A 25,413-nucleotide genomic window follows, 5' to 3' on the forward strand; every position below is an offset into this window, starting at 1 on the left:
TCTGCTAAATAATCATATCTTAAAATTACTTTAAAGAAATTCCAATCCCTCATGTTACATTAAGCAATAATGCCAGTTTTCCATAATATGCCTTAGTTGTACCACCTTATTCAGGGTCGACAATTAATTAGAAGACAAAAAGTATAAATCGCGTGTTTATTAAGTAGCAGACAAATTTCTTTGTCTGTCTCAACATATTTACATTAATGTGTTTATTTTCTAATTTTGAAAATAAATAAGCATATTTAAGCCAAAGCTGCCTGTCTTCGGGGTTTGGGGAAGGATGCACATTCTCTTGCTATCCTTCTAACTTGCTGAAAGAATCACAGGTGTGAAAAAAAGACAGGCATAGTTCTTGGCTGATTTTTAAAAAAACACTTCACATTCTATCGAAGGACCATATCCACTTCTTTTTTAATCCAATATGCTAGGAATCCATAGTATCTGAGAGCAATTTATATGAATTCTTCATGTGCATCTTATCTATGACAACAAGATAGAAGAGGAAAACCAGACCACCACGCTCATGATGCTATTTGGAAAAAGCAGGTTCTCAAAAGGGACTGATTCAAAGATCAGTTAGTTCCTCCAGCCTCTAAAAACAAGTTTTGGGTACTTAATTTAAATCACTGCTTGAGGACTTGCACTGTCATTCTACATGAATCCCAACCACTTGCAGGAGGAACAACATTGCTCCATTCATTTCAAATTTACAGCATTAAGAATTAATAAAGTCTTTATAATGTCTGCATTATTTAAGAGTAATGATTCCTGAAGAAATCTGCCTGTAATATGTTTACTGTTTTTATTGCTTGTAATGTCGTCAATTTCCTTTTCAATGCCCTCAAAAGATTCTCTTCATGTACTTTGAACTTTGTTTACATTGGCTGTATTTTAAAAATATATACCAAGATTTAACTTGTACAATAAAATGACAATGTACAGCAAATGAATTATGGCGATGACAAATAAATGTTACTCATATCACCTAAAACTAAACCATAAATTTGTATAACATGTATCACCTAATTTCCATATTTAATAGGAATATGATTTTTTGCAGTAAACATTAAAATAGTATCAAGGAGATGTGAGATAATAGTATATTAAATAACCTTTTCTATAATCTTATTTTTACAATGGTATTCTTTGTCATAGAACATTCTTTAATTATTTTTCTTTCACAGACAAAAATAACAAAAGAACATCAATGCCATCTTCGTATTCTTAAAAGAGAGGGGTAAGGAATGAATGCTTCCAGCACCCTTTATTTTGTTATGCCTCAATATTGTCTGTAAAATAACATGGTTACTAAAAAATTCTTGATTTGAGCAAGACCAAAATTATTACAGTGTACTTTACAGTTATTTCACGCATGAATGTTAAAACATACTGAAATTATAAAACTTTCATAGACTTTTTTTCAGTATTCAGTTTAAGATAGGTTGTCAATAAGAGCTACTTTAAAAAAAACTGACAATTTTCTTTGCTCACTAACTATAGGAGATCATTGCAAATTATTTTCTTTCTCATGCTGCTATTCACTTACGTACTGCATATTTGCTTCAATTCTCCAAGGGAAGAAATGTGGCTCTTGTGGGAAAGGTCCACCCCTTTCTACATGTTTGCTTCCTTGAACGAAAGGAACACACCCCCTTACATTCTTTGAAATGTGTCCAACAATTGTAATAGCACTGTATTATTGACTAAATTAGAAAATCTTAAGTGATAGTCAAATATTGTTAATACACTGTGTATTTTGAGTCAGGAGAACTAAATGACACATATACAGAATGAAGTTCAATCTAGTGTCTACACTTGGATGCTATAGAATGTTTGTGTTAGTAGAAGAAACTCATGAATGTTTTTGTGTACAGGTATGTTGTATGACACCTCAGGAAGAGGCCCATGAATGTTACAAGTTTTTGATGGCCTCCTTTCAATTTAAGACCCATTACAGGAATGACCCCTTTCTTTCATAAGTATATTGGATAAAAAACATTTAGAAACTTAGGAAGTAGAATCAGAGAGCTGTTTGAAATCACAAACATGCAAAAATATCACAGGTCTACGCTTACCATCCTAATGGCAGAAAACTCACACCAAAGTTGGCACCCACTAACTTCTACCTCATTAAGGCAAGCTGCTGGTCATTGGATATTGTGTTCTAACACGACTTCCCTTTATGTAGAATAATATGTTTCCTTCCAAGGAAAGTTTTTCTTTTGTTGTTATTTTCTAATAAATATACTCCATATTTATAGAAAATTTTGCATTTATCTTTGATTTTATCTTTTCTAAATAGTCTTTCTTTATTCCACTTTTACAAAGAAATTTTCAAGTGTAAAGACACAGCAGGAAAAAAAATTATATCTCTTTTAAGATATTTTAGTGTGTAAATGAAATGGATAGTCCTTGTGCAATTTATCAGGCATTTCAGAATGAACCCAACTGTATAATTCCCAGGCCTACAAAATGAAAGCTTTGTTATTTACCTATGTTTCTCACTTGAAATAAGAGTGAATATAAAGAGTGAATATATAACTGCAACTGAAGGTAATAAACTTGTTAAAACTTAGTAAGATATTGTGATGGTCAAAGAAAACCTGCAAGTGCGTGCCACAAATCCACTCAGATGAAACATCTCATTCACTAAAATTTTCTATCTTATTATAATAGTGCACAGAAAATTAAACACATAAATATTAATTTTATGTATCACAGATGATGTAGGCAATGAAAATGCAATGTTTACATTTATGGGTGACTCATTAGTGTTTTATTGTGTGAAACACTAGGAGGCATCAGTTGGGTAAAAAAGGACTTCAATTTTAGAAGAAGCAAAAAATTACTGTAAAGTTGGGTGTGTAAGAAGTTAAGATTTTCAAAATGTTATTATGTAAACCAAAACTTTATTCTCTGAAATAAACTCTCAAAACATCATATTCTGTTGTAAAGAATGATCTTTATATAACATTCATGAAATATATATATTATATATATATATAAAATTTGACCAATGAACTTTTATGAAGATATGTTTCACATATATGGATTCATAACTATGTAATTACACATTTTTATGTAGAATATATTTGGTAACAGAATAACATAATGGATATTGACTATTATGCATTTTCTGCTGAATTACTCAATAACATGAGTGTATGTTTTATTTCTGGCAAATTCTGTTTTGTGCTCTTTATAACGCCTCTGAAAATGTCTAATGCATTTAAGCCTTACAATACCTGCTTCATGTAAGCAGACAATTTAATGTTTGTTCATAAAGAAATGATGGAACTTAAAATTTACACAATGAAGACATACATAAAAAAGGACATGTTTTCTCTTACTTCACTACTGAAAGCCTGTCATTTGAAAACTGAATTTTCCATTGTTTGAATGGATCATAATGATGAAGCAACAGGGTCAAAGTATGCTTATCTAAGCAATCATTTGAAATTGAGTGTCTTGCCATTCCTCAACAATCAGCTTTTATCTTTGACCTATCAAAATAACATGTGAACTATGTAATCTGCCTTTTGTAACGTGCATAGACTCTGTTGTTCCTGGTTTTGTGAATCACCTCTGTAATCTGGTTTGATTTCCTAAAGGTGACAGATCTCGGTGAACAGTCAAGCTTTACTGAGTGCAAGACAGTCCACGCGCCTATAAGATTAAGGTACAGTGCTAAGGACGGGGATCTTAATTACCTGTCTTTCCACATGCAGCATACTGATGGAACAACAGTGATTAAATCATTTCATCGTGTCTAGGCAATCACCACATTAGTATAGAATGAATACGTGTATTTTGATAAGTTTTAGATATTAATTTGTGTGGTATTTTCTCAGAGGATGTGCTTTTGAAAAAAAAGTGTAACTTTATTAATAATCTCTTAACAGTTCATCTTGTGACCATTAATTGCATATTAAATTCTTCTATGTTGCTTCGAATCATGTCCCCAAAGCCAGAATTCTGTTTAATAACTATGTCTTTGTTGTTATGTAGCACAAGTATTGCTGCACAGCTATTTCCCCATTTTTGTCACTTTCTGAGATTTCATAGACTCAAATTATACCACACTTTAGAGTTGAGAAATAAAACCACAAAATATACTACAATAAACAGAAGAAAGTTTTAAAAGATAATGTTAAGATATGCTAAGGAGTTATTCAGTGCTGTTCTTTATAAAAGAAGTTTAAATAAAGTATTTATTAGAAAGATACGTTTGCAGTGTTATGGAATTTATTGATTCCGTTAAGTTAGGGCCAAGGAAAAAATTTCAGGTATCTTTTCCCCCAAATTTTTCAAAATGAACATGTTTACAAAGAAGAAAAGAGGCAAAGTGCCTCTTGTTATCTAAGTTTCATGGAGTTATCTAGTATTAATGTGCTTCTCTCTTGAAAAGTTAATATCTGTGATTGCACACTTTTAAAATATGAATAGCTCAGAAAAGGTGGAAAACTGTTTTTATTATAAATTGCTCATTTGTTATTGAAATAAAAAACAAATTAACATTTAATAAAACTTACACTTTAATATTATCTTTCAATATATTCCACATGCACAGCAATCAGGACGTAAATGGTGCAATTAATGAATGAAGTAAAATGCTGCCTTTCCTAAGAAGTCTGAAAAAAAGTCAAACATTCGAATGCTGTGTGAATTATATTAATAAAAATAGTAGGTTTTTATAAAATTTAGTAAAATTTGAAGTAAAGGTAACAGCCACCTACTGTCTCTTTGACGGGAGAACCAAATTTTAAGCAAATGTTATGTTTAAAGACTGTTTTGATGAAAACTTTTAGAATTGAGTTAGTAGCAGAATACATAGCTAAATGTACTTTTCTACAAATAGAATGAGATATTTGATTTAAAATATTTCTTTCCTCTTGAAATAGGATGTTAGATAGGGACATCTCATTTTACCTATCAAGTTCTGAGTCTTGCTTTAGAACTACTTCTTTTAACTTAATTTCATGCATACACTGGAAGACAATAATATGGCTTTTTAACTGCATTATCTTTAGTTGAAACTGATGGAGAAACAAAAATACTGCTTATACCATATTGGTACATGCTGAATGTTTTTAAAGACTAGCCAAAACTGACATTTTTTAAAATTAAATAAGATGTTTTAGTTTCAAATTAGAGATTGTTGATCTATTTAAAGCTAAAATTGGTATGCAATACGAGGTTAAACGGGGTTCACAGGTGGTCACATTTCCATGTCCTACCAAGTCTCTAGGGATTGGAGTTATTATACTCCACATAAACATCTTTACTCTGCAACCACAATTCCATTGCAAGGTGCCAGTGAAAGTAGGCTAGTCGCTTTTTTTTTTTTTGGACTGGTATAATGAGGTGGCTGGAGTTTCCTTTATAGCACTTAGAAATTATATGCAGTCCCCAAGCATTTCATAAGACAGTTACTATTAGAGTTAGTTTCAGATTCACAATAGTAAAACGCACTTTGTGTCAAAGCAATTCTCCACTGAGGACCGGTTAAGGAACTGGCAGAGAGCCCAATTCTACTTAGTCTACTGTCAGCATTTACATATAAAGTATTTTATACAAAAGACACGCATTCCTAAAATGTGACAAAAAAAGGCTCTCCCCAAAGAATGATAACTACTGGACTTAGAATAGTCAGAAGTGATTCAGATATAAAATTTCCTTTAAAAAGCAATAGCCATGTTCAGGGAAGGAAGGTAACATTAGCATTAAATTTAAATACTTCCACAATATTTAATAATAAAATAAACAATGTGCCACATCTATATATACTTCCTTTGTGACAAACTTTATCATCGAGTTTGGTAACTTTCATTCCAAGTCCAAAGAGAAGGCAATTTAAGTGACTTAACCTTGCTTGCTTTTAAACAGCTATGTATTTGACTTGACCTGAACAGCAATCCATATGCTGAAATCGAACGTGAATTGTGAAATGTGTAGACTACTATGGCAGGGATATTACTTTTTGTCCACACCAATTAAGAAGCCCTCTGTCAAGCCGGCACTTTGGTGAGGGAAGGAAATGCACAAAGGTATACTCTGACAGACAGCCATGCTTTAGGTCAAACTAATCCCAAGAATTAGTGGCTCAGAAGCATAACCCAGGGCAAATCAGTGTCTTTGGGGGGACTCATGGGAGCATCTTTCCACAGTGAACTAACTGCTAAATCTTAAGGCGTCTACTTCAAGGTCACAGAACATGCTGTGAAATATTAAAATCCACCAGGCTCCACACGCTCCACCATATCAAACATGCTAATGACGTGAACTAACTTCATGAAACTTTAAATACACTGGTGTGACAGGAACGAGTCAGGAGTGATTTCAATAGCTGATGGCAAACGGATACGACTATCTAAAAAGTTACTTTTAGCAACAAACAAGGAAATCATGGAATCTAACGAAAAAGAATGCACAACGAGCCTCAACTTCAGCCTTCAAAAAAGGCACAGGGATAGATAGACACAGTGCCGTGGAATATATTGATGCAGATTTTAGAGACAATACCCGGGTTTTCTATTTCCTCGAGAAATATCAGGGGTACTTACATGAAGGAAGACCCGATCAGATTAGTCCTTGGGATATTTTCCTTTCTTAAGAGAGAGAGAGAGAGAAAAAAAAAATAACAACAATAATCTTTACTTCGTCCAGCGTTGAAGTGCTTCTCCACCTGATTCAAACATGCAGCCACGGCGACCCACACAGAACCTTCAAAGTCAATCCAATAGCAGCCCGAAGATGTCTGGGTGTACGCGTGTGCTCAAGTGTCTGTGACTGCGAGCAGAGCGAGCAGAGAGCTGGAGACGATGTGTGCGTGTGTGCGCGCGCGCGAGGGGAGCGCGCGCGAGGGGGGGGGCGCGGGGCCGCGCATTCGCGCGCGCCGAGGCCGCTCGGAAGAGGAGGAGGAGGAGGAAGAAGGAGGAGGAAGAGAAGGAGGAGGAGGAGGAGGAGGAGAAAGTGGCTCTCAGCGGCCGGTCGGATTAAAAGTAACCAGACTCGTCCAGAAAACTGCGTCCAGGAAGGAAGTGACAGAAGACGAATGGGAAAAGGAGAACAGCTCACAGCGTTTGAAACATCGCGTAAAAAAGACTGGGGGTGGTGGGGGCGGGGGGGATTGAAGGATACTGGGAGGGGAGGCGGGGGTGGTAGGGAAGACGGAGCACGAATGGTTGGGGTTCTAAGCAGCACGTCCGATGAAATGTCTTTTGCCTCCTTTTTTCCCCCTTTATTTAATTTTGTCCTTGCCTTTGCTTCGCGCTGCCTTTTTCTCTCCGTCTCTCTCTCCCCCACAATCCCAAACCGTTGACTCTTTCCTCGCGAGCTGGAGAAATCATCAGTTTCACTCTTGCAAAAGGGGGGCGGGACTAGACCTCGGAGCATTTTAATAAAACAAACATACAGCAGCTCCCTCCTCACCCCTCCAGTCTCAACTAGATTGATAAATTACTCCACTACACTACTTTAATTATGTATATGGTATGCAGAATAAATCACTGAACATCAGTACCTCAATCAAGCACTTTTAAATGATAATTGCATCTTGGTGAATCAATCTTTCCATTCCTGACATTTTGCTAATTTTAGTTTTACGGTGGGGTAATAGCACATGCCATACGCAAACCTAATGACAATTCTTTATTGCACGAAATGAAGACAACACGGCGAGCTGCGGCTCCCTGCTCCTCTCGCGGCGCCTCTGCGGAGGACGCTCGGAGAGAACCTAGTCTCCCGCTGCGGCGCGCTCGCTTGCTCTCCGGGGACGCTGCGAGCCAGCCAGCAGGAAAGTCCTTCTAAAGTCGGGATCTTTCCTCTGACCAATAGGAGCGCGACCCTAATAGTTGCTCTTGTGACTTTTCCCCCTTTTGGACACGCGTTAGCCACTTCTCTCTTCCACCGGTCGGTGCGCTCCTCCGTTACTCACGCGTAAAAACCACGGTCCAGGATGTCTGCAGCACTCGATTCCAGCGTGCTTTTCCTGCACGCCCAGAAGTCGCGGTTTTCACCCTGAGAGGTTGGAGCGCTAGAAAGCGAGCCGAAAGGTTTCTCTAATGTTAGTAATGTACGAAATAATAAAATAATTACCAGTATTTGAGATCTCGACTTCATCGCGGGGCCATGAACTTTCTAATCAGTTTGGAAATATTTACCGAGGAAGCAGCTTCCTCGGAGTTCCCCCCCTCCCCCCACTCTATCTTTTCCACACCTTACTGGACTTCATCCAGGTCATTAACATGTAAACCAAACCAACTTCCCAAATGCATTAGGCTACCCTAGCCGATAGCTGATGACTTCACTTATCCTGAAGAGTTTCAGCTGCACAGGAAGCAGAAATAGAGACTGATAAGGGAGGATACTTATGTTAAGGTTAAAGCATGATAAACACTTTTCCTTACAAAAAAAAAAAAAAAAGGCTTTAATATTTAGGCTACTAGAGATTGGGCACCTCCCGCCCTAACCAACTGTTAATATATACCATGCCCAATAAAGCCAAAGATAAAATACATCAACTAGTATAGAATCATGAAAAGACAAGATTGCATGCCAGTAGAATTATAGATTACATAAAATGTTTAAACCAAACTATTTTTTAAAAAATATTGTGAAAGCAAGAAGGGAAAATTAATAGAACATGGAATATATGAGATTAGACAATAGTATATTGAAATATCTAGCTAACTAAAGATTTCCTCACTTTAGAAAATTCCTTTTAGCACTACGTTTAACCCAATGACTAGTTGTATTTCCTGTTAAGTTCAGCAATATGCCTCCAGATGACTATTTTAATATATGAGGACAGTATGGTTCAAAAAGCCTCCTGCTTCAATGTAGGAGGTATTTGATGTGAGTAGCTTCTCTCAGAAGAGTGGCCTCAACATTTAGGCAACTGTCCCAAGGCTTCACTTGAAAGGGGAAGGTTTATTTTATAGGCAAGTACAACTAGATCTGAACAATCTTCAAGTTCCAGCTCATCATTGTGACTATCAGCAAAACTAAGACCATTCCCTCCCTTTTATTATAGGAATGCATCACAAACTGTCACAAAGCAAAAACCATCTGAAATAGTAGTATTTCTTGCAGATTAGTATTTACAATGTATTTTGTTTGCCGGTTTTTCAAATGTTGAGTTTGCCATTACCATGAATTCATTTTAATAATATGGCAGAGAACATCTGTATCAGGTTTCCATTCAAAGTACAACTTCTCTGAAAATCCAAAAATTTAAAGGGCAAAGATATTTCGAATACTAAGATATGTCTATATATGGTGGTAAAAATAAAATTAATTTTCTTCAAGATTCACGAAGGTCCTGAAAAAGCAAAGCATTTGAAGGACCATCTAAGTTTATTGCCATAATACCTAAAATTAATGCAGTGAGTTACAACAGTCTATTTGACATGAGCAAACACATAGCCAATACATGAATTTCAGCCCTGCTGTTTTTAATGAATTATAGAGGGTATTTCTGTTTACCACAGTACACTTCAGTTTTAGATGTTCTTTCAAAAAGAAATTATTTTATTTTACCTTTTCATATTTTAAATAATTATTTAATAATACCCATTATAACAAACCCATAATTATTAATGATACTGCAAGCATTCAAAAATAAGTATAACCCCACACTGGATAATTTGAAAATAATTTGGATCTGGAATGTATCACAGTTGGCCTTTTAAAATACAGGATTTTCCCCTCAGCAGATTTAGCTTCTTAATTATGTGTGACCTAAGTTAATATTACCATTAGTTTTCTTCCCATGAGCCTTTACAGTTGAAGCAGAAGAGATATGAAGAAATATACATTAGAAAATCACCTGAGATTTAAAATTATTCATGAGTAATCCACAAAGTAGTTAATCCAGAGTGTGCTTTGTATTCTTTAAATACTTCTGGACTTTTGGTTTCTGTTTCTGTTTTTGTTTTTTCTTTAAAATCATCCTGATCCTTGCCATCTAATGATACTTGGTTAGGATCAGACTATTTTCTCATGTAGGGAGGAGCTTGTACTAGGTGTCAGGAGACCTGGATTCTCTATCTAGTTCAAAATTTGTGCCTTACTAAGGGATTTGTCCTTTCTAGGCTTCAGTTCGCTTATGTGTTAAATGAGTTCTGTAACCTATTCCAGTTCTATCATTGGAAAACAGAAAATGTTTCTACCCTTTAAACCAATTGGAAGGTAGGGTCTATCCAGTTAAATAATAGGTGACAATTCCTTTAAAAGAAAATTATGTCTGGGATTGATGTACTACTGTACCAGCTTTTATTTTTTTCTAATCACCAAATATTTCTCCTACATTAAGTTGTAAATGCTTTATTGTTAATGTAAATATAGAGTCACTTGTTTTTCCCTCAAAAGAATTATGTTTAGCAATATATTTAATTAAAGTGTCATAGAAGTTACAGAGAGCATGCTCCTCGGGATTTTAACTCCAGGGAAAGCTAATATTGCAATTTCTGTTCAGAGCTGCATACCATCTTACTCCAACCTCCTCTCTTCACTACTTCCCTACATTAAAGCAGCGGTCCACTAAAGCCCTGTGCACTGGGTCTGCCTGCTTTTAAGCCTGGCCCACGCTGGGTGTAGCTCTTGAAGTGAGCTTTAAAAATTATTTTAAAGTGAACTGGGGCGGTTGCCACAGCAACCCACCCTGAGATGAAGAAAGGCTATAGATTAATGTACCCCTTAAGATTATTCAACTGTATAGTATTTGTTCCTCAGCCAGAATACTTTTAACACAAACATGATAAGTGAACATGGTGGTTTAGAAAAATCTAAAAAGCAGTGAAACACAAATTCCAATAGCATTACATATTTTAATCTTTGTCTAATTATAGTATTGATGATACACAGGACTTCCCATGAAATAGATTAATTTTATAAGATACAGTACTTGCAAAAGTAGGCCCTGAAAGATGACATGATCTTTAAGCAAAATGATATGTCATTGCTTATAATATAAAGTGTATGGTGGTCATTTAACTCTTTATTATTGTTATACACGTCTATTCTGTAAATACCTAAGGCCAAGGAGTTTGGCAGTTTTACCTTTATGGTAACTCTGTGGTAAATGATAAAAACAAATGTGAGCACTCACCACATACACTTCTTTACTGCCACAATCATTTGCCTTCCGTTCTTTACTTCATCTCTTCATAGAAGTTACTTCACAGTTTGCAACTCTTCTTTGGCACCTTCAAATGTGGAAGTGCAAAACAGTATATAGTATTTTGTTAATGCTGATATGAAAATACTTTCAAATAGATTTATTTCTAAAACTTCTAATCTGAAGTAACAATATTCTGATTTTAAACCAAAGTGTTTTGAATATAAGACAACTGAAATTGTCATGCATTGTGATAATAATCTTTAACATAAATAGTGCCAAATATCTAAATTTCAAAAATTCACTAGGTGCAGCATTAACCCAAGAAGAATATACAGCATGTGGAATGTCTGTGATTGAGAATTTGCAATATACAAAGGATTTGTTATTTCAAGACAAGGTTTACACATATCTAAGGATTCTATGTTTATCTGTATTTCTGTACCTTCAGTTTTATATCTGATAGAGAATTACAGAAGAATGTCAAATCCATTATATCCGAAGCTAACACAATTTGTCAAATCGGGAAATGTTTGCAATGCAGTTGAGGTTACTGAAAGGGCTTATTTTATGCATTGCCTAAAGGCCAATTTAAAATACTTTGGGATTAGTGATGTGTATTCAGTACGGTTTATAAATTCTATTACCAATAATACCTTATTTTTCCAAGCAGTGTTTAACTATACTGAGCACAGACAAATGCTCCTGTGTTCTGATTTCTGTTTTAGTCTGGCTTTCCATGACTTTGTGCACACAAATGAACCTTTCCTTGGCTTCAGACTGAGGCTAGTCCCAGAAAGAGAACCAGCCTTGAGACACATCAGACCAGGATGGTCAATATCTCTTTTCCCATTTGTAATAGCAGGAGGACTTTGCATAGTGAAGAATCATTTATAAAGCCTCTATATTTGGGTTGACATCTCTGAGGTTTATTTTTAAGTTGCTTCAGAGTCAAAGAGAAATGAAAAATTTTGGCCAGTTTTACTTTATGGGTGTTAGTTGAGTTTAGGTTTTTAGGCTTAGGCCCACAGTGAGTGAGTCCAAACTTGGTCTTGTAGTCACTACCAAGTGATTTGGTGAGTTCTCTTTCTTCCAGTTGTGCTTCATTTTACAGTCTATTAAGTGAGAATCATAATACACATCTCCCAGGGCCTATTCACCTTATAGAAATGCAATCTTCATGAAATAACATCTGAAAGGTATGGTAAGGTTTTTTTTTTTTTTTTAAACGACACTACAAATTATGATACATTTCTTTCTTTTCCTGTAATCAGTATGTCCAAATAAGGCTTGATCAGTAATTTGCTTGCAAGTGTGTGGCTGATTCAAAAATAACCACATGCATGAATAAATTTAATGCGACTTTACCTTTACTTACAAAATTGTTAAATGTTGTTCATCAGAACATTGATTCTATCCCATTTCTTGAAATATCACAGAAACCTTCAATTCAAGGAATGGATTTTCACACTTCCCCTTTTAACTGTTTCTTCTAGATACCTTACTATGTGTGTGCTTTTTCATTTTAAAAAATCTTTACCCGGGGTTGTGGTGGAAGTGGGGATTAAAAATCTCGTCCTGCGTTTTGGTGCCCACTTCTTTGTTTGGAAAGCAGAGCGCTGGGACTCAATCCGGACGGCCCTCAAAGACCCAGACGAGGGACGCCTCTAGTTTGAGCAACTCACTCCGCTGAGTTATTGATTGCAGGCAGCAACAATCCCTCCGGTTGATTTGTGTGAAAAGTGAATCCGCTCTGGCTGGGCGTTCAGCAGAGGCGCAACAGCTGCAACGCCATCCAATTATTGCCGATCCTCCCCTCCAACACTGCTCTCATCACCTATATACTCTTCTCTCTGCCCGTCTCTGCTTCCCCCCCCTTCCCCCCCCCCTTTTCTCCCGGCCGACGGAGCTGAAGGGGCGGGGGTTCCTTCCTTGGAGTGTTTCTAGAGCTCGGAGGCTGCTGGTAGGGGGTGAGTGCGCCACGTGCGTGCGCCACGGGCGAGCAGGAGGCAGGCTCTGGGCCCTCCTGGGGACCTGCTGGACCTGCTGGACCTGGGTGCGACGAGTGGGCGGCCACGCTGGTTTGGCGCGGGGAAGGAAGGGGGTGTGCCGACTTGTATTTAGTTGGGGGTTGTGGAAGTCACGGCTGGGGGAAAAGCGTCCGGTGGTTTGTTGGTAAAGAGGGTGCGTGATGGGCTCTGGGGAATGGAGGAGGGCGCAACGGCTGTGGGTGGACTGTGGAAACGGGCGGTGGCAGTGCCGGGGTAGTTGTCCTGCTGGTCTGGTTTTGGGATCCTGGGCTGGAGAAATGCGATCCAAAAGAGCTCGGGATGGGCTCAGAGCGACCCACGAAAATACCAGGGGCCAAGTAAAATGAACCCACCCTTTAACAGTGCACAAAGCGCTGGCACACGGTCCACGTCTGGTGACGCAGGCTGCCCGAAGCGCTCCAACCATTTTGCAAACCTGGGAGAGCAAGAGGGGCTCTGCAGGTCTAGCCGCCGCCCCTGTCCCACTCTGGCCAGCCGGAGTTTTTCACCTGACAGACCAATAGGAAAGAACACGGGCCCCAAACTGGATTTTATAGTCTGAGCTCTCAGCATCTAAGGAATTATATTTCAAAAAACAAAAGCCAACTCATAGCTCTATTAAGCTAACGCGTGTGCGAGTTTTGGCTAGGAAAAAGCCACAAAGTAAAGCAAGAAGTAGGGTATTCAGGATAAAACACACACTTTAAAGACAAAACAGAAAACTTCCTTTCCCCTTGTACCCCCTTTATTTGTTAACACAGGGGAACGGTTCTGGGATGTCTTACAAAAATGCTGTCACTAAATGCAGATATCTGTGCTGTTCTTTGACCTGTCTGGCATTGTGGAATACTCAATTACATCGAAGGTGTAAAAACGTTTATGTTATCATGTTCTTGAAACATTTAGCGGCTACCAAGATGGTAGCTATTTAAATTAATTAAAATAAGATAAAATAAAAATAAATTCTGTCCCTCAGTTCCACTGGCCATATTTCAAGTGCTCAATAGCCACATGTGGCTAGTGGCTCCCTTACTGGACAGCGACATGTCAAACGTTTCCATCACTGCATAAAGTTCTGCTGGAGAATACTGCTATAGAGTTCAAAATGAATGCTGGTTAAAAAAAGAAAGAAAGAAAGAAATTACTTTATGACTGATACCAGCCACATTTTAGGACACTCTTGGAGTTTCTGTTACTTGGCACTAGTGTGAGAAGCTTTAAAGTCAGACTTTCAGTATCTTCCTGCTGAAAGAGACCTTGGGGAACACTTCACCCAGACACCTAATTTTTTTATAGGCAAGAGAAATCAGGCCCAGAGAAGTTAAGTGATGCCCCCAAAGTTATGTCATAAATTTGGAAAGAAGATAAGGTCCCCTAACAGGGTCCAGTATACTTTGTGCCAGACAAGGACATCTTTCTAGGCAAATTCATCTTACAGAAAGTCAACTTGACTGAAAATTTTAGGCAAGAGTACCCTTTTACAAGAAAAAATACTGCTAAGTATTCCTCCAGGAAGAAATTCCATTTAACAAAGAATGAGGAGCATGGGGAATAATACTATCTCCCAAACTAAAAATGTATTATTGGTAGTGTCATAGATTCATATAATGCCTTTTCTAAGAGGCTAATTGGGATAACACTGTGCTTCATTCTACTTTAAAAATTCTGAGGAAATGGGATTATCCTCTTAAAGAGCTAAAAAGCATTCTTAAGGTCAGGGAGGAAAGGTGTCACCTAAAGTGAAAATTTTTAGCAAAGCATAATCTTTCTCAAATTTGATAAAGATATCGGAGACATTGATTATGATATAACTAGGATGGAATTGGCTCAGAAATGTTAATAACCAACCAACCTTTTTTTTTTTTTTTTTTTTTTGAGACGCAGTCTCGCTCTGTCGCCCAGGCTTGAGTGCAGTGGTGCGATCTTGGCTCGGCTCACTGAAAGCTCCACCTCCTGGGTTCATGCCATTCTCCTGCCTCAGCCTCCCGAGTAGCTGGGACTACAGGCGTCCACCACCACGCCCAGCTAATATTTTCTTTTTTTGTATTTTTAGTAGAGACGGGGTTTCACCATGTTAGCCAGGATGGTCTCGATCTCCTGACCTCGTGATCTGCCTGTCTCGGCCACCCAAAGTACTGGGATTACAGGCGTGAACCACTGCACCCGGCCCAAACAAAACATTATTACAAATTACACTATCTGAAACATATAAGGCAACAGAATACATCATAAAGATTTAGACAAAGCATAAGCTTTCTTATTAGTTTTATTGTTTTGTTTTGTTCTGTCTTTTGGGTTTGTTTTGTTTTTAATGCCATGTTTGTATTCTATATATCTTATTGTTAATTAGGAGTGAACTGTTGGTATTAATTCTGCTCTTTTATAGTAGTTACCTTTTAACTTAACACTTAGTTAAGGATCCCCGAAGTGTCCAAATAAGAGTACTTATGAATATTAAATAATTTTAAATTAATAACAATAAATTATTTTAAAAGTGTAGATTTACATTTTTATTTGAATTATTGTCTTTATTGCTCTTCTTAATTTACCATTTGCGTGTGGTTCAGCATTCTTCCCATTCTCCCTAAAATCCAGTATCCTTAGAGAAAATGTTTCACTTCTTCAGGTGCTTGTAGACATGGAAGAAGGCCTCACCTTCTCCATGGCTGACAACCGAGAAGGCTGGTCTGACTTGGAAGAAGCTGTGTGGCCAACAGCCAATTGGCTGTATCACATGGTAACTGTTTGATTATGCATATGGTTTAAATCTCCCTTTGCCTCAGTTTCCTCATTTGTAAAATGTGGAACAAAATGTGCTATCCTCAAAACTTTGTTTAAGGATTAAATGAGCTATTCAGCATAAAGCACAGGGCTGGAAAAGTGACAAACTGCGGTAAAAATTAGCCATTCTTAATCTAATGCAAAGAATTTCCACTTCTATACCATTAAGTTCTTTATTCACCTATACTGGGGTTATCACAGCAGAAAGAAGTAGGTCATCCGAGAGGTGGGAATTGGTTCAGGATGAGATTTACCTTGGAAGAGGTAAAATGTTTTAAAATACCATGACTTAAGTGTACAGGTTGCCTTATTTCCCTTTCACTGACATCATGCCTCTAGGATATTTTTTCTTTTTTGGGGGGATGCTTTATTATACTTGTTAGCCACTTGGTTGCTGAAAAGGCACTGAAAACTCAGAGTCTATCCTCTTTTCACCCTGGTTGACCTTTGGAATGCTATTGTCAGCCAAGATGACATTGATATCTTCAGTCTCCCCCTAGCTTGAATTCTTTAGGTCAGAGTCCGCTCAGATTGTCTCCTGATGTCATTCCAAGTGTCTGATGGCCGTCTATGGCAACTGGGTTGGGCAAAAGCCTGCTGGGAAGGGGTAGCCCACAGAATGCCTAATGGAGCGTTCTGTTCAAGAGGACCTAGAAGTAGTTCTGTTAGACATATGATCAACACTACAGCTGTGTTAGGGGACTGTACCATTTCTTGAAAAACAGAAGCATAGTCATTTTGCATTTTTGGTTCTAATAAAGTCCCACCTGAGATGTTTATGATTTATACTGATTTTATGATTAAGTATGTATTACAGAAAAAAACAGACTTAGAGAATGTCAATAAAAATTTTATATCTGATATTCACGCTAACACTAGTTATTAAGTGAAGACCCCAAGTTAAGACAGAAGAGTTTAGAAAAGAAGGAAAAGAGCTACCGCATGGCAAAATGTACATTATTCTATCTTTCTAGGTATTTTTCTTTTTCTTTCTTTTCTTTTTTTTTTTTATGGAGTCTTGCTCTGTTGCCCAGGCTGGAGTGCAGTGGTGTGATCTTGGCTCACTGCAACCTCTGCCTCCCATAGAGATGGGGTTTCAACATGTTGGCCAGGTTGGTCTTGAACTCCTGACCTGAGGTAATCCGCCCACTTTGGCCTCCCAAAGTGCTGGGATTACAGGCTTGAGCTACTGTACCAAGCCATTTCTAGGTAATTTTTTAAATGACTATGTTCTACTTATCTGGATCTTACAAAATTATTTATAAAATATTTTATTTATAATCCTAAATTTTAAACCAAGCAATATAATAGAAAATGTTATGTTTTCAAGAAGGTAAGATCATGCATAGATCTATATGCTTTCAATACGTAATTTTATAGAAATTGTGGAACAAGGAGGCACATAATTATATCAATATTCTAATTTCTTAGGAAGAAACAGAATTTTCACTGGGAGGAGTTTCTAAATTATTTTGTAATATGGTGAGAATTAAAAGTAAAACTCAATAAAACTTTTAAATTTAAGTGAGTGATTAAAACCAGTTTGTTTCACCAAAGTACTGATTGAGTCAAAGACTCAAACAAAAGGCCAGATTTCCTACGGACTATTACTTATTTATTCATTTATACTAAATGTGTAGTTAAATCTTTTAAATCAGTAATGTTCTTAGTCATAATACAATGATATCTGGAGTATATATGCAAAAATAATACTATCTTATTAGAATGTGGGTTGAAATGAATATTTGAAGTACCTAACATTTAATGGCCACATACTATTTGTCAGGCTCTGTATTAATTGCTTTATAAACTTTTGTTTCCTTTTATTCAAAGAACAACCTTTTAGACATGTACTATTATTGTCCCCATTTTAAGATTTTACACACTAAAGCTGTGAGTGCTGACATGACCTGCCCAGGGCCACATAGTTCCTAAGTGCCAAACGACATAAAACCAATGTGTTTGTTTCCAATACTCTACCCTTAGCTATGATGCTATACTGCTTCCTTGTATTCATAACGTTTGTTCACTTATAGTGATAATATAATAGATATTTTTGTCCCACCAGAAAATATTTCAGAAATACATATCTAAAGGCATGTCATCCTCTTTAAGGTAGACACTTTAGAAGACTATTCATTTATTTCAGTAATGTTGTCTTTGCTCAAGTCTATTTAGAAATCTCCTCAGGGATTTGCTACACAGTCTTAAAACTGGCCTGATTGTTGGCAAATCCTTATCATTAAGGATGAATTTTTTCCAAAAGTAAATCCAAGCCAAATGTAGTAAACAGGATGAAAACTAAGATTTGAGTATAAAGCATTAGATTATTTGATATTTGTCTCATAAATTGACACTAATTGAAGATATAAAAGAGGAATTTCAAAGTATTTTTGATATGATTTTATAACCTTTAAGGAGACAGTTTTGACAAGTAACACTCGTAAAAGGTCTGGTATTTTTTTAAAAAAGTCATTTTCACTAAATTAATAGTTATAGATCATGTATAAACAGCATGGGAAATGTTCTTTTCAAAGAGTATAAAATGGGCAGCGGAGGGTAACTAGGAAACTCTGGAGCAGAATCCACGTTTAGACACTAAATAATTGTTTTGACCTTAATTTTCTAAATGCCCTTTTTGTAAAATGGGGAAGGTGGCAGGAACTACCCATGATAATGATTTTGCCGAGAGAAGCACATGAAATTGTACTTCTGTGGCCACTTAGTGCCTCGCATATAGAAAATTCTCAATAAATGTTAGCTATTATATACCATTTCACTTTCAAGAAATACCCCATATTCCTGGAAAACATCTCAATGTTGTAGTTATGTAATGATATTTTAAAAGATGTTTTCTTTTCTGTCAGTTTCATGCTTCCAAACAGTTATTTTATGTAAAGTATTTGATATATAAAGTAAATATAAACATTTATGGTCGTATGTTTATTCAGTTAATATGTATTATATCAAGAAGTCTTACATGTTGGACTGCTAACTATATTATCCTTGTCAGTGTTCTATATAATATTGTCTTTAGATAAACTTTTTTGGGGTATTCTTATTGGATTTCATCAGACTTATGAAAGTAATGACATACCCATTTGCCCAGAATGATGCTCCAAGATTTTATTTTTTAGTTACCTCAGACATCTTCTAAATTGTTTATTCATTATATAATCTTAAATTTAAGGGAACTGAGCATAAATATGTTGAATTAGTGGCTTCCTATTAGATCCCAGTGAACTCCTCTTAAAACAGGGCTCTTATCTGTGTAGCATATGCGCAGTTGTGATGTTGTGAAAGTTTGTCTTTACATCACTCTCTTCCCTATACTCACCTTCAGCAGGCCCTGCTTTCACTTTGGCATGCTCCACTCACCCAGCAGCAATTTTTACAATCAGTAATAGCTCTTTCACGAGTGCTTCTTTCTCCTCTGGGCCTTCCACTGATGCGACCTACAAAGTCCTTTCATCCCTCAGCCGCCCCTTTATGTCCGCGGAATTCTTTCCAACTATGTTCTATCAGAGGAGCCGGCCACTACAGCCGCCTAATCCATGACACGGTATCATTGTGCAATCACTTTAAATGAACCTCTCTTCAAAAGTTTTCTGAAAAGAATTCATAATCCAAAGGAGTATCCATGCTTCCACAGATACCCTGCTGTGTTGGTCAGGTGGTGTTTTAGGGAGCACTTTCAGTATGTCTCAGGTCCCTCCCACCAGCAGCCACTTCATTTGTCCACACAGATCTAAGCCTTGGATGCAAGCAAATGGGAAACCTGGCCCTTACTTGAGGAAGCAATTTTGTTTTTGAAAATGTTGGGATTGGAAGATGAACTCTCTATCAGCAAAATATTAAGATACTCCTTGAAAATTTATATACTTAAAAAATTGTACATTGCATTACCTGTTCCCCTGGTCTCTTTTTCTATTCCCTCTTTGCAATATGAGGCAGGCAGCCACTGCGTGTCCCTTGTACCATAGTGACTATGTTGTCACTCAGACTTACCCTGTGTGCTCTCCCTTCTGCCCCACCAAAGCCACCAGAGGTGTAATTAGTGATTATTTATCCAGAAATGTCTTGAACAGGGTTTAAGAACTCTTTGAAGAGAATATGTACCACTTGTTGGATGAAAGAGAGAATTTGAAACGGTTGGGGAGAGGTTTAGGGACAGAGGGCAAATTTCATTCTGCCTTCTATCTCCTCTATTAAATCACAGATAAAGCATCTTCCTATGTGCAAAGACAGGGTACATAAACAAATATTTCCCAACTTAGTGTAGTCTTAAATCTTTAAATAAAGAGTATCCATATCAAATGGAATGCAATTTTATATTAAAAATCATCACTCAAGATTCAAAAGGAAGAAATAAGATTCTAAGTAAAAGATTTTGAACACTACTAAAGTAAGAAACATTCTACAACTTTCTTATTCCTTTTGACCCCTTTAGCAAAGGCTAAATAGCTAGCCAACAGATTTCCTCCCAACTATTCCATTTAACTTCCTTTCTTCCTTCCATCTGTCATTCATTCATTCTTTCCTTCCTTCCTTCATCTTTTCTGCTTCCTCTTTTCATTTTCAAGTTGTAAATTCTTTAGTATCAGTTGTGAACTCAGTAAAGCTACACACACACACACACACACACGCACAACTGGTTATTAACAGGATTTTTCCTTTGCGTTGGAAAATTACATTTTCTGTTTCAGAACCATAGGGTATTATTCTTTTTTGATTTATCAGAATCACTTCAAAATAAAATACCTTCACTAAAGGAGCTTATTTCTAAACAATTGATGATGCATGTTATAGATAATATGGTCATAGAATAACTTCTATGATTATTTTTTGTTATTAATCACTGTAATTACTCTATGATTGCAATGATGATTAACTTACAATGAATAAGGTCTGTGCTTGTGTTGGTTATATAGTATTTGTGAAGGATTTATGTTCATGCATCCACACAGTCTCATCTCATCCTTACGTAGCCGTGAGATTCTAGTCTGTGTAGCCTACGGCCGCAAAATAAACTCACCCACAGGAGAATAAAGCCTATGGTTTCTCTCACATTATCAGTGGGCTATAAGCTCTTAAACTCCACAGGTCAGTGATGATTAACTGAGCATTCTAAAACTTGGTGAATGTGTATGCTCTACACTCTCATACGTTCCATAATAAGCACTGTCTGTATTGTTTGAATGACTGTCCTGAAGAGTTCGCTCAAGCCGTTTTATCACATTTCAAGCTGTATTATTTAGCATCTTAAACTTAAGAAAAACTTAAGAATGATTTTTTTTCTGGCTTTTCACTAGTATTTGATGACACTTATTTTCCAGTCTACATAAGATAATTAAAATAAATGAACTACTCAACACAGTAGTGTTTAATTATAGCAGACAATACATTTTAAAAGGTAAAGTCTATACTTGTGTGCATATGCTCCCTTTCATCTTTTGGGACTTGGGATCACTAAATGTTAGTTTTCCTGTTACTGTAGAGCAGGAGAACTGATCCTCTTCACAAAAGAGGGCTCCTTGTGAGGATGTTAACAGTCTAGCTCAAAGAACCAAAGTGCCTCAGAATCACCCAGGTGCATGTTAAAATCCAGATTCATGGGCCCCACCTCAGGCCCACTTAGCTGCAATCTCAGGAATCTGCATTATAACAGGCTCCTCAGGTGGTTCTTCCATAGCACTTATTTGCATGCTACTCTCTTAAGGTGAGGGGAAGCATAAGATCCACAGGTCCCTCTAATGCCATAATTTTTTTTTCTCTCCGTTTGTTATTCACTCCTGTTCTCTCCACTAATGTTCACAAATTTTGTGGAACTTTTAAAGTCATGAGAACCTTTCAAGATAGTAAGATGAATCTTGATTCAAAATTGTAAACAAGAAAAAAAGACATGCCACAAATATTCTGCCTGTTGAAATTAGAAAACCAGTTAAGCAATATGGAAACCTAATTATCTCAAATTTCTGTACAATTCTTCATCTTTACTTAATTGAGGGATAGCCATTATCTTTTCTTGGATGGAATCGGTTCATTGGGTCCTGATACCTCTGCAAAACCTGTAAAATGGGCTTCAGATCCAGGGACCTCTACCATTGGTGATAAGTGACTCCCAAACATTTTCATCCTTCAGTGACTGCCACCTGCTGTGAGCCTAGACTCCAGGAAAATAGGACTGGCACTGGTCATAGTCACTTGAGGAATGTGGCTTCTCTGTAAAGAGATTTTCAATCAATGCAGATGTTCCTTGTGACCTCAGTAATCACCTCCATCTGCCAAGCAGTCATAAAGGGCCTGCACATCTTTGCCAACCTTGTCAACAGAGTGATCCATATCTTAGGTCTTTAACCTCTTTTGTATTAAGATTTTTTAAAAAATACATTAATCATGTTTTAATTCTGTCCTCATGAACATAAAAATAGCAATAATAAATGATTATTACTATTGCAAAAGTATTGCTTTAGTTTACAAGTTTTCCTTAAAAATATTGAACTCCCCAGCTGTATTTATCCATTCTTTCATTCCATTTATTCATCATACATAACCTAAATACCTATATGTAGCAGACATATTGTACTAGGATTCAGATATTTTTAACACTGTTTCTTGTTCCAACATTTTCCTGACATAAATAAATATATTATCATGCTGGCTTACAGCATTGTGTGTGGAGAATATCTTTCTAAGTTTAAAAATTTTCCTGTCATTCTATAAAATTAAAAATATTAAATGACCATTCAGTACTTTTTTGTCAATTCAGCCTTATAGTGCATACTGAAAAGTTCAAAGCTTCGTGTCATAACATAATTTTGAGAATGAGACTTTTTGTATTATGTTACTAGGGTCCCCAAGTGGAAAAAATAAGGCCTGCTGCTCTGGAGTATATTGCAAAGTGATTTTGTTTTCCCCACTGACTTCACAGGCTAGATAGTGTGTCAGTTTTAATTACTTGGAATGCTTACATGGTGGGCTACTTATAGCAATAGGGATAGGGTGGGGCCCAGTCATTGCAGACAGGAACCCACCAATAATATTCCAGATTCCTTTTGAGACTTCCTCACATGAAACAGAGGAAATATCTTTCATTGGATAACTAAAACTTACTTTCCTATGATTTGTACAAAATGGCCAAAAAGGCCCATCCATTCATTAGCCTCACAGAGGTTAAGTGACTTGTTTCCAGTCACAAAATGACTTTGCAGTGAAACAGAGAGTCTAACTCAAATCTTCCTACTTCTGCTCTGGTGCTCTTTGAAGAACACTCTTTAACTCTAATGAGGAAGCCTCTATGATCCTTCAAAAGCAGATACCGGACAAGTCACTTATTTTCACTAAAACCCCTTTGGGATGCAGGGCAATGATTAAACTTGCCTATCTTTCAAATTGCTAGAAATGGATGCTATTTACTATTTTGCTTGCAATTGATTTGCATACTGTTATTACATATTGTTAAATGGTTTGTTGATTAATGACTAATGTTGATTTGGACTAAATGTAATGGAATAAGCAAATATATTTTCAAATTTAGATATACAATTTAGTTGCTAAATGGTGTTGTTAGTCATAAAAATGTTGATTATTTTAGATCAATCCCTTGCAGGGGAACCCTAGCCACAATTTCCCTCCATATTTTTTCTCAATATTTTAAGCTTTACCCCATCTCTTTTTCTTATTAATTTACATGTCTGGGTTTTAAAGCTAATACTTCTTATAAGCAAGTACTGTTCCAAAGCCCAGGACTAAAATAAATTCTTATAAATTCAGAATGTGGTAGATTTCAACTAAACAGTTTCTTTTCTGGAGATCCAGAAGACAAATATTTGGCTTGAATATTAATATTTTCATGACCTTGACCAGATCAATATATTGCACAAATATTATCAACAAATTATATAAATAGACCATATTTACTAATATAATTAATAATTTTGGAATTAATATAAGATAGTTATATATACACACACATAAGCTAGTCAGTTGTTAAGTCAGTTATATGAACTATATAATGTATTATGCACTTGATATATACATATACTTATGTGTTAGTATATTTTGTATTTTTAATTACTCCCAATCTTAAAAAAAACCCTATATTCCAACTTATATTTTTGATTTCTACATTTATCTTCTAAATATATGTATTACCTTTGATAATTTTTTTATTTCTGCTATTTCATATACATTCATAAATATTTCCAGTTTGGAAATCCATTTAAATGGTAAGACAAATAAAAAACTTTTGTACCATAGATGTTTTAGTACATTTATAGTCTTTGTATTTTTTAGAACTACATTTTAATATGCTGTGATAAAAATGTGTATTTCTCTAACAAGGTATTAAATTTGGTGACTGAAAAGGGTTCTTCAAAGGAATATAATTCACATTAATTTTCCATGTGATCATTGTTACTTATAGTTTACTAGTCAACATGCTTAAAGTCTAATTAGAAAAAAAATCCCTGGATATTAAGTTGGGAAACAGACCCAAGTCTGTATCTACATAAAGGTCACCACCTTGGTGACCTTTGGTAAATTTCATTTTTGTTCTTTGATTTCATTTTCTTTGAAAATGAGAAGCTGAAAGCTTTAAAGCTTTCTTCCCATAACTCCGAAATAGTTTATGAGCTCAAAAGAAAATATGACTAAAAGAAATGTGTGGGCATCATTACCTGGCTGCCCAGTATTTTCATGGACACAGACTTGTAACATATTCTGAAAGTTCCTTTAAGGAAAATAACTCTATAGATATGGACAGCAAGGGAAAAGGGATCAATAAGAAAAAGAAAGGGAAATGAGTTAATGACAAAGGAGGAATGGTAGGCAGTAGAAATGATTCCCCACTTACTTGTTTTTTATCTATAGTCTAGTTATTCCTATTTGAAAACCTACTGGCACCAGGTATTATCAACAGGGATGAGTAATATGTAATTTTTATCTTTACTGGGTTACATTTGGCACATGGACAGTTGACAGCTGTCAGTCAGGTGGCTGGTCAATGAGGAGATACATATAAAGCTGCCAAAATATTTTTGTTGCTTTAAATACTTACAAGTAAACCATTTTAGCTGGAAATTTTGTTGCACTGAAATTAAATAGGCTGATATTTAAAATATAATTAATTGAAGTTAACTACTGGGAGAATCAAGATTTTCCCTATTAATATATAAGGTTAAATAACATGTTTTTCCAAGTGTCTTTCTGAAACAGGAAAACAATTTTTCTCCACTGTAAATAAGCTATCTGTAAGATAGGAAGATAACTTGCAAATAATGTTTAAAATGCATATGTTTTAATGTTAAATATTTAGAGCAGGTGTAAATCAATGCTACTTTAAACTCCAATATTTTATTAAAATAAACCATTCCCATACATTGAGGGAGTTGGCATAGGTTTTTTTGTGACACAATGTTGAAGATTTATTAGAAAGGACAAACATAGCTGCATGGTGGACAAGAATTTACAGCCTCTCAT

The 25,413-nt window shown here is 36.2% G+C and overlaps 1 protein-coding gene and 1 long non-coding RNA gene across 66 annotated transcripts in view, besides 4 other annotated features; one reads left to right on the top strand and one right to left on the bottom strand.

Moving 5' to 3' along the window:
* MEF2C (myocyte enhancer factor 2C) overlaps positions 1 to 25,413 on the bottom strand; it is a 186,989-nt gene that overhangs the window by 159,272 nt on the left and 2,304 nt on the right. For 20 of the 57 annotated variants that reach the window (NM_001364333.2, NM_001193350.2, NM_001364344.2 and 17 more), the window contains exon 1: positions 6,567 to 6,796. The gene's annotated coding sequence lies outside the window, so the exon portion shown is untranslated. Of the gene's footprint in view, positions 1 to 4,535; positions 4,635 to 6,566; positions 8,039 to 8,100; positions 8,149 to 11,113; positions 11,211 to 12,662; positions 12,988 to 25,413 lie in introns of those variants that run through there. The other 37 variants (XM_017009478.3, XM_047417190.1, XM_047417181.1 and 34 more) reach the window with 7 other exon arrangements.
* Positions 6,942 to 25,413, top strand: part of MEF2C-AS1 (MEF2C antisense RNA 1) — a 584,252-nt gene continuing 565,780 nt past the window's right edge. For 4 of the 9 annotated variants that reach the window (NR_136222.1, NR_136217.1, NR_104031.1 and 1 more), the window contains exon 1: positions 12,920 to 13,092. This is a non-coding gene — a long non-coding RNA (MEF2C antisense RNA 1). Of the gene's footprint in view, positions 7,098 to 12,919; positions 13,093 to 13,224; positions 13,307 to 25,413 lie in introns of those variants that run through there. The other 5 variants (NR_136218.1, NR_136219.1, NR_109941.1 and 2 more) reach the window with 2 other exon arrangements.
* Positions 7,854 to 7,903: an enhancer, noted in NCBI's record as "active region_22766". NCBI's record gives its function as "activates an Ori minimal core promoter by ATAC-STARR-seq in GM12878 lymphoblastoid cells {active_cell/tissue: GM12878}" and the evidence as "EXISTENCE:reporter gene assay evidence [ECO:0000049][PMID:35858748]".
* Positions 12,949 to 13,485: an enhancer, noted in NCBI's record as "H3K4me1 hESC enhancer chr5:88185154-88185690 (GRCh37/hg19 assembly coordinates)". NCBI's record gives its function as "activates a minimal SCP1, AML or CMV promoter by ChIP-STARR-seq in naive H9 embryonic stem cells {active_cell/tissue: H9 hESC(naive)}" and the evidence as "EXISTENCE:reporter gene assay evidence [ECO:0000049][PMID:30033119]".
* Positions 13,072 to 13,271: an enhancer, noted in NCBI's record as "active region_22767". NCBI's record gives its function as "activates an Ori minimal core promoter by ATAC-STARR-seq in GM12878 lymphoblastoid cells {active_cell/tissue: GM12878}" and the evidence as "EXISTENCE:reporter gene assay evidence [ECO:0000049][PMID:35858748]".
* Positions 13,486 to 14,020: an enhancer, noted in NCBI's record as "H3K4me1 hESC enhancer chr5:88185691-88186225 (GRCh37/hg19 assembly coordinates)". NCBI's record gives its function as "activates a minimal SCP1, AML or CMV promoter by ChIP-STARR-seq in naive H9 embryonic stem cells {active_cell/tissue: H9 hESC(naive)}" and the evidence as "EXISTENCE:reporter gene assay evidence [ECO:0000049][PMID:30033119]".

Source organism: Homo sapiens, chromosome 5 (genome assembly GCF_000001405.40).
Source record: "Homo sapiens chromosome 5, GRCh38.p14 Primary Assembly".
NCBI classification, from domain to species: domain Eukaryota; kingdom Metazoa; phylum Chordata; class Mammalia; order Primates; family Hominidae; genus Homo; species Homo sapiens.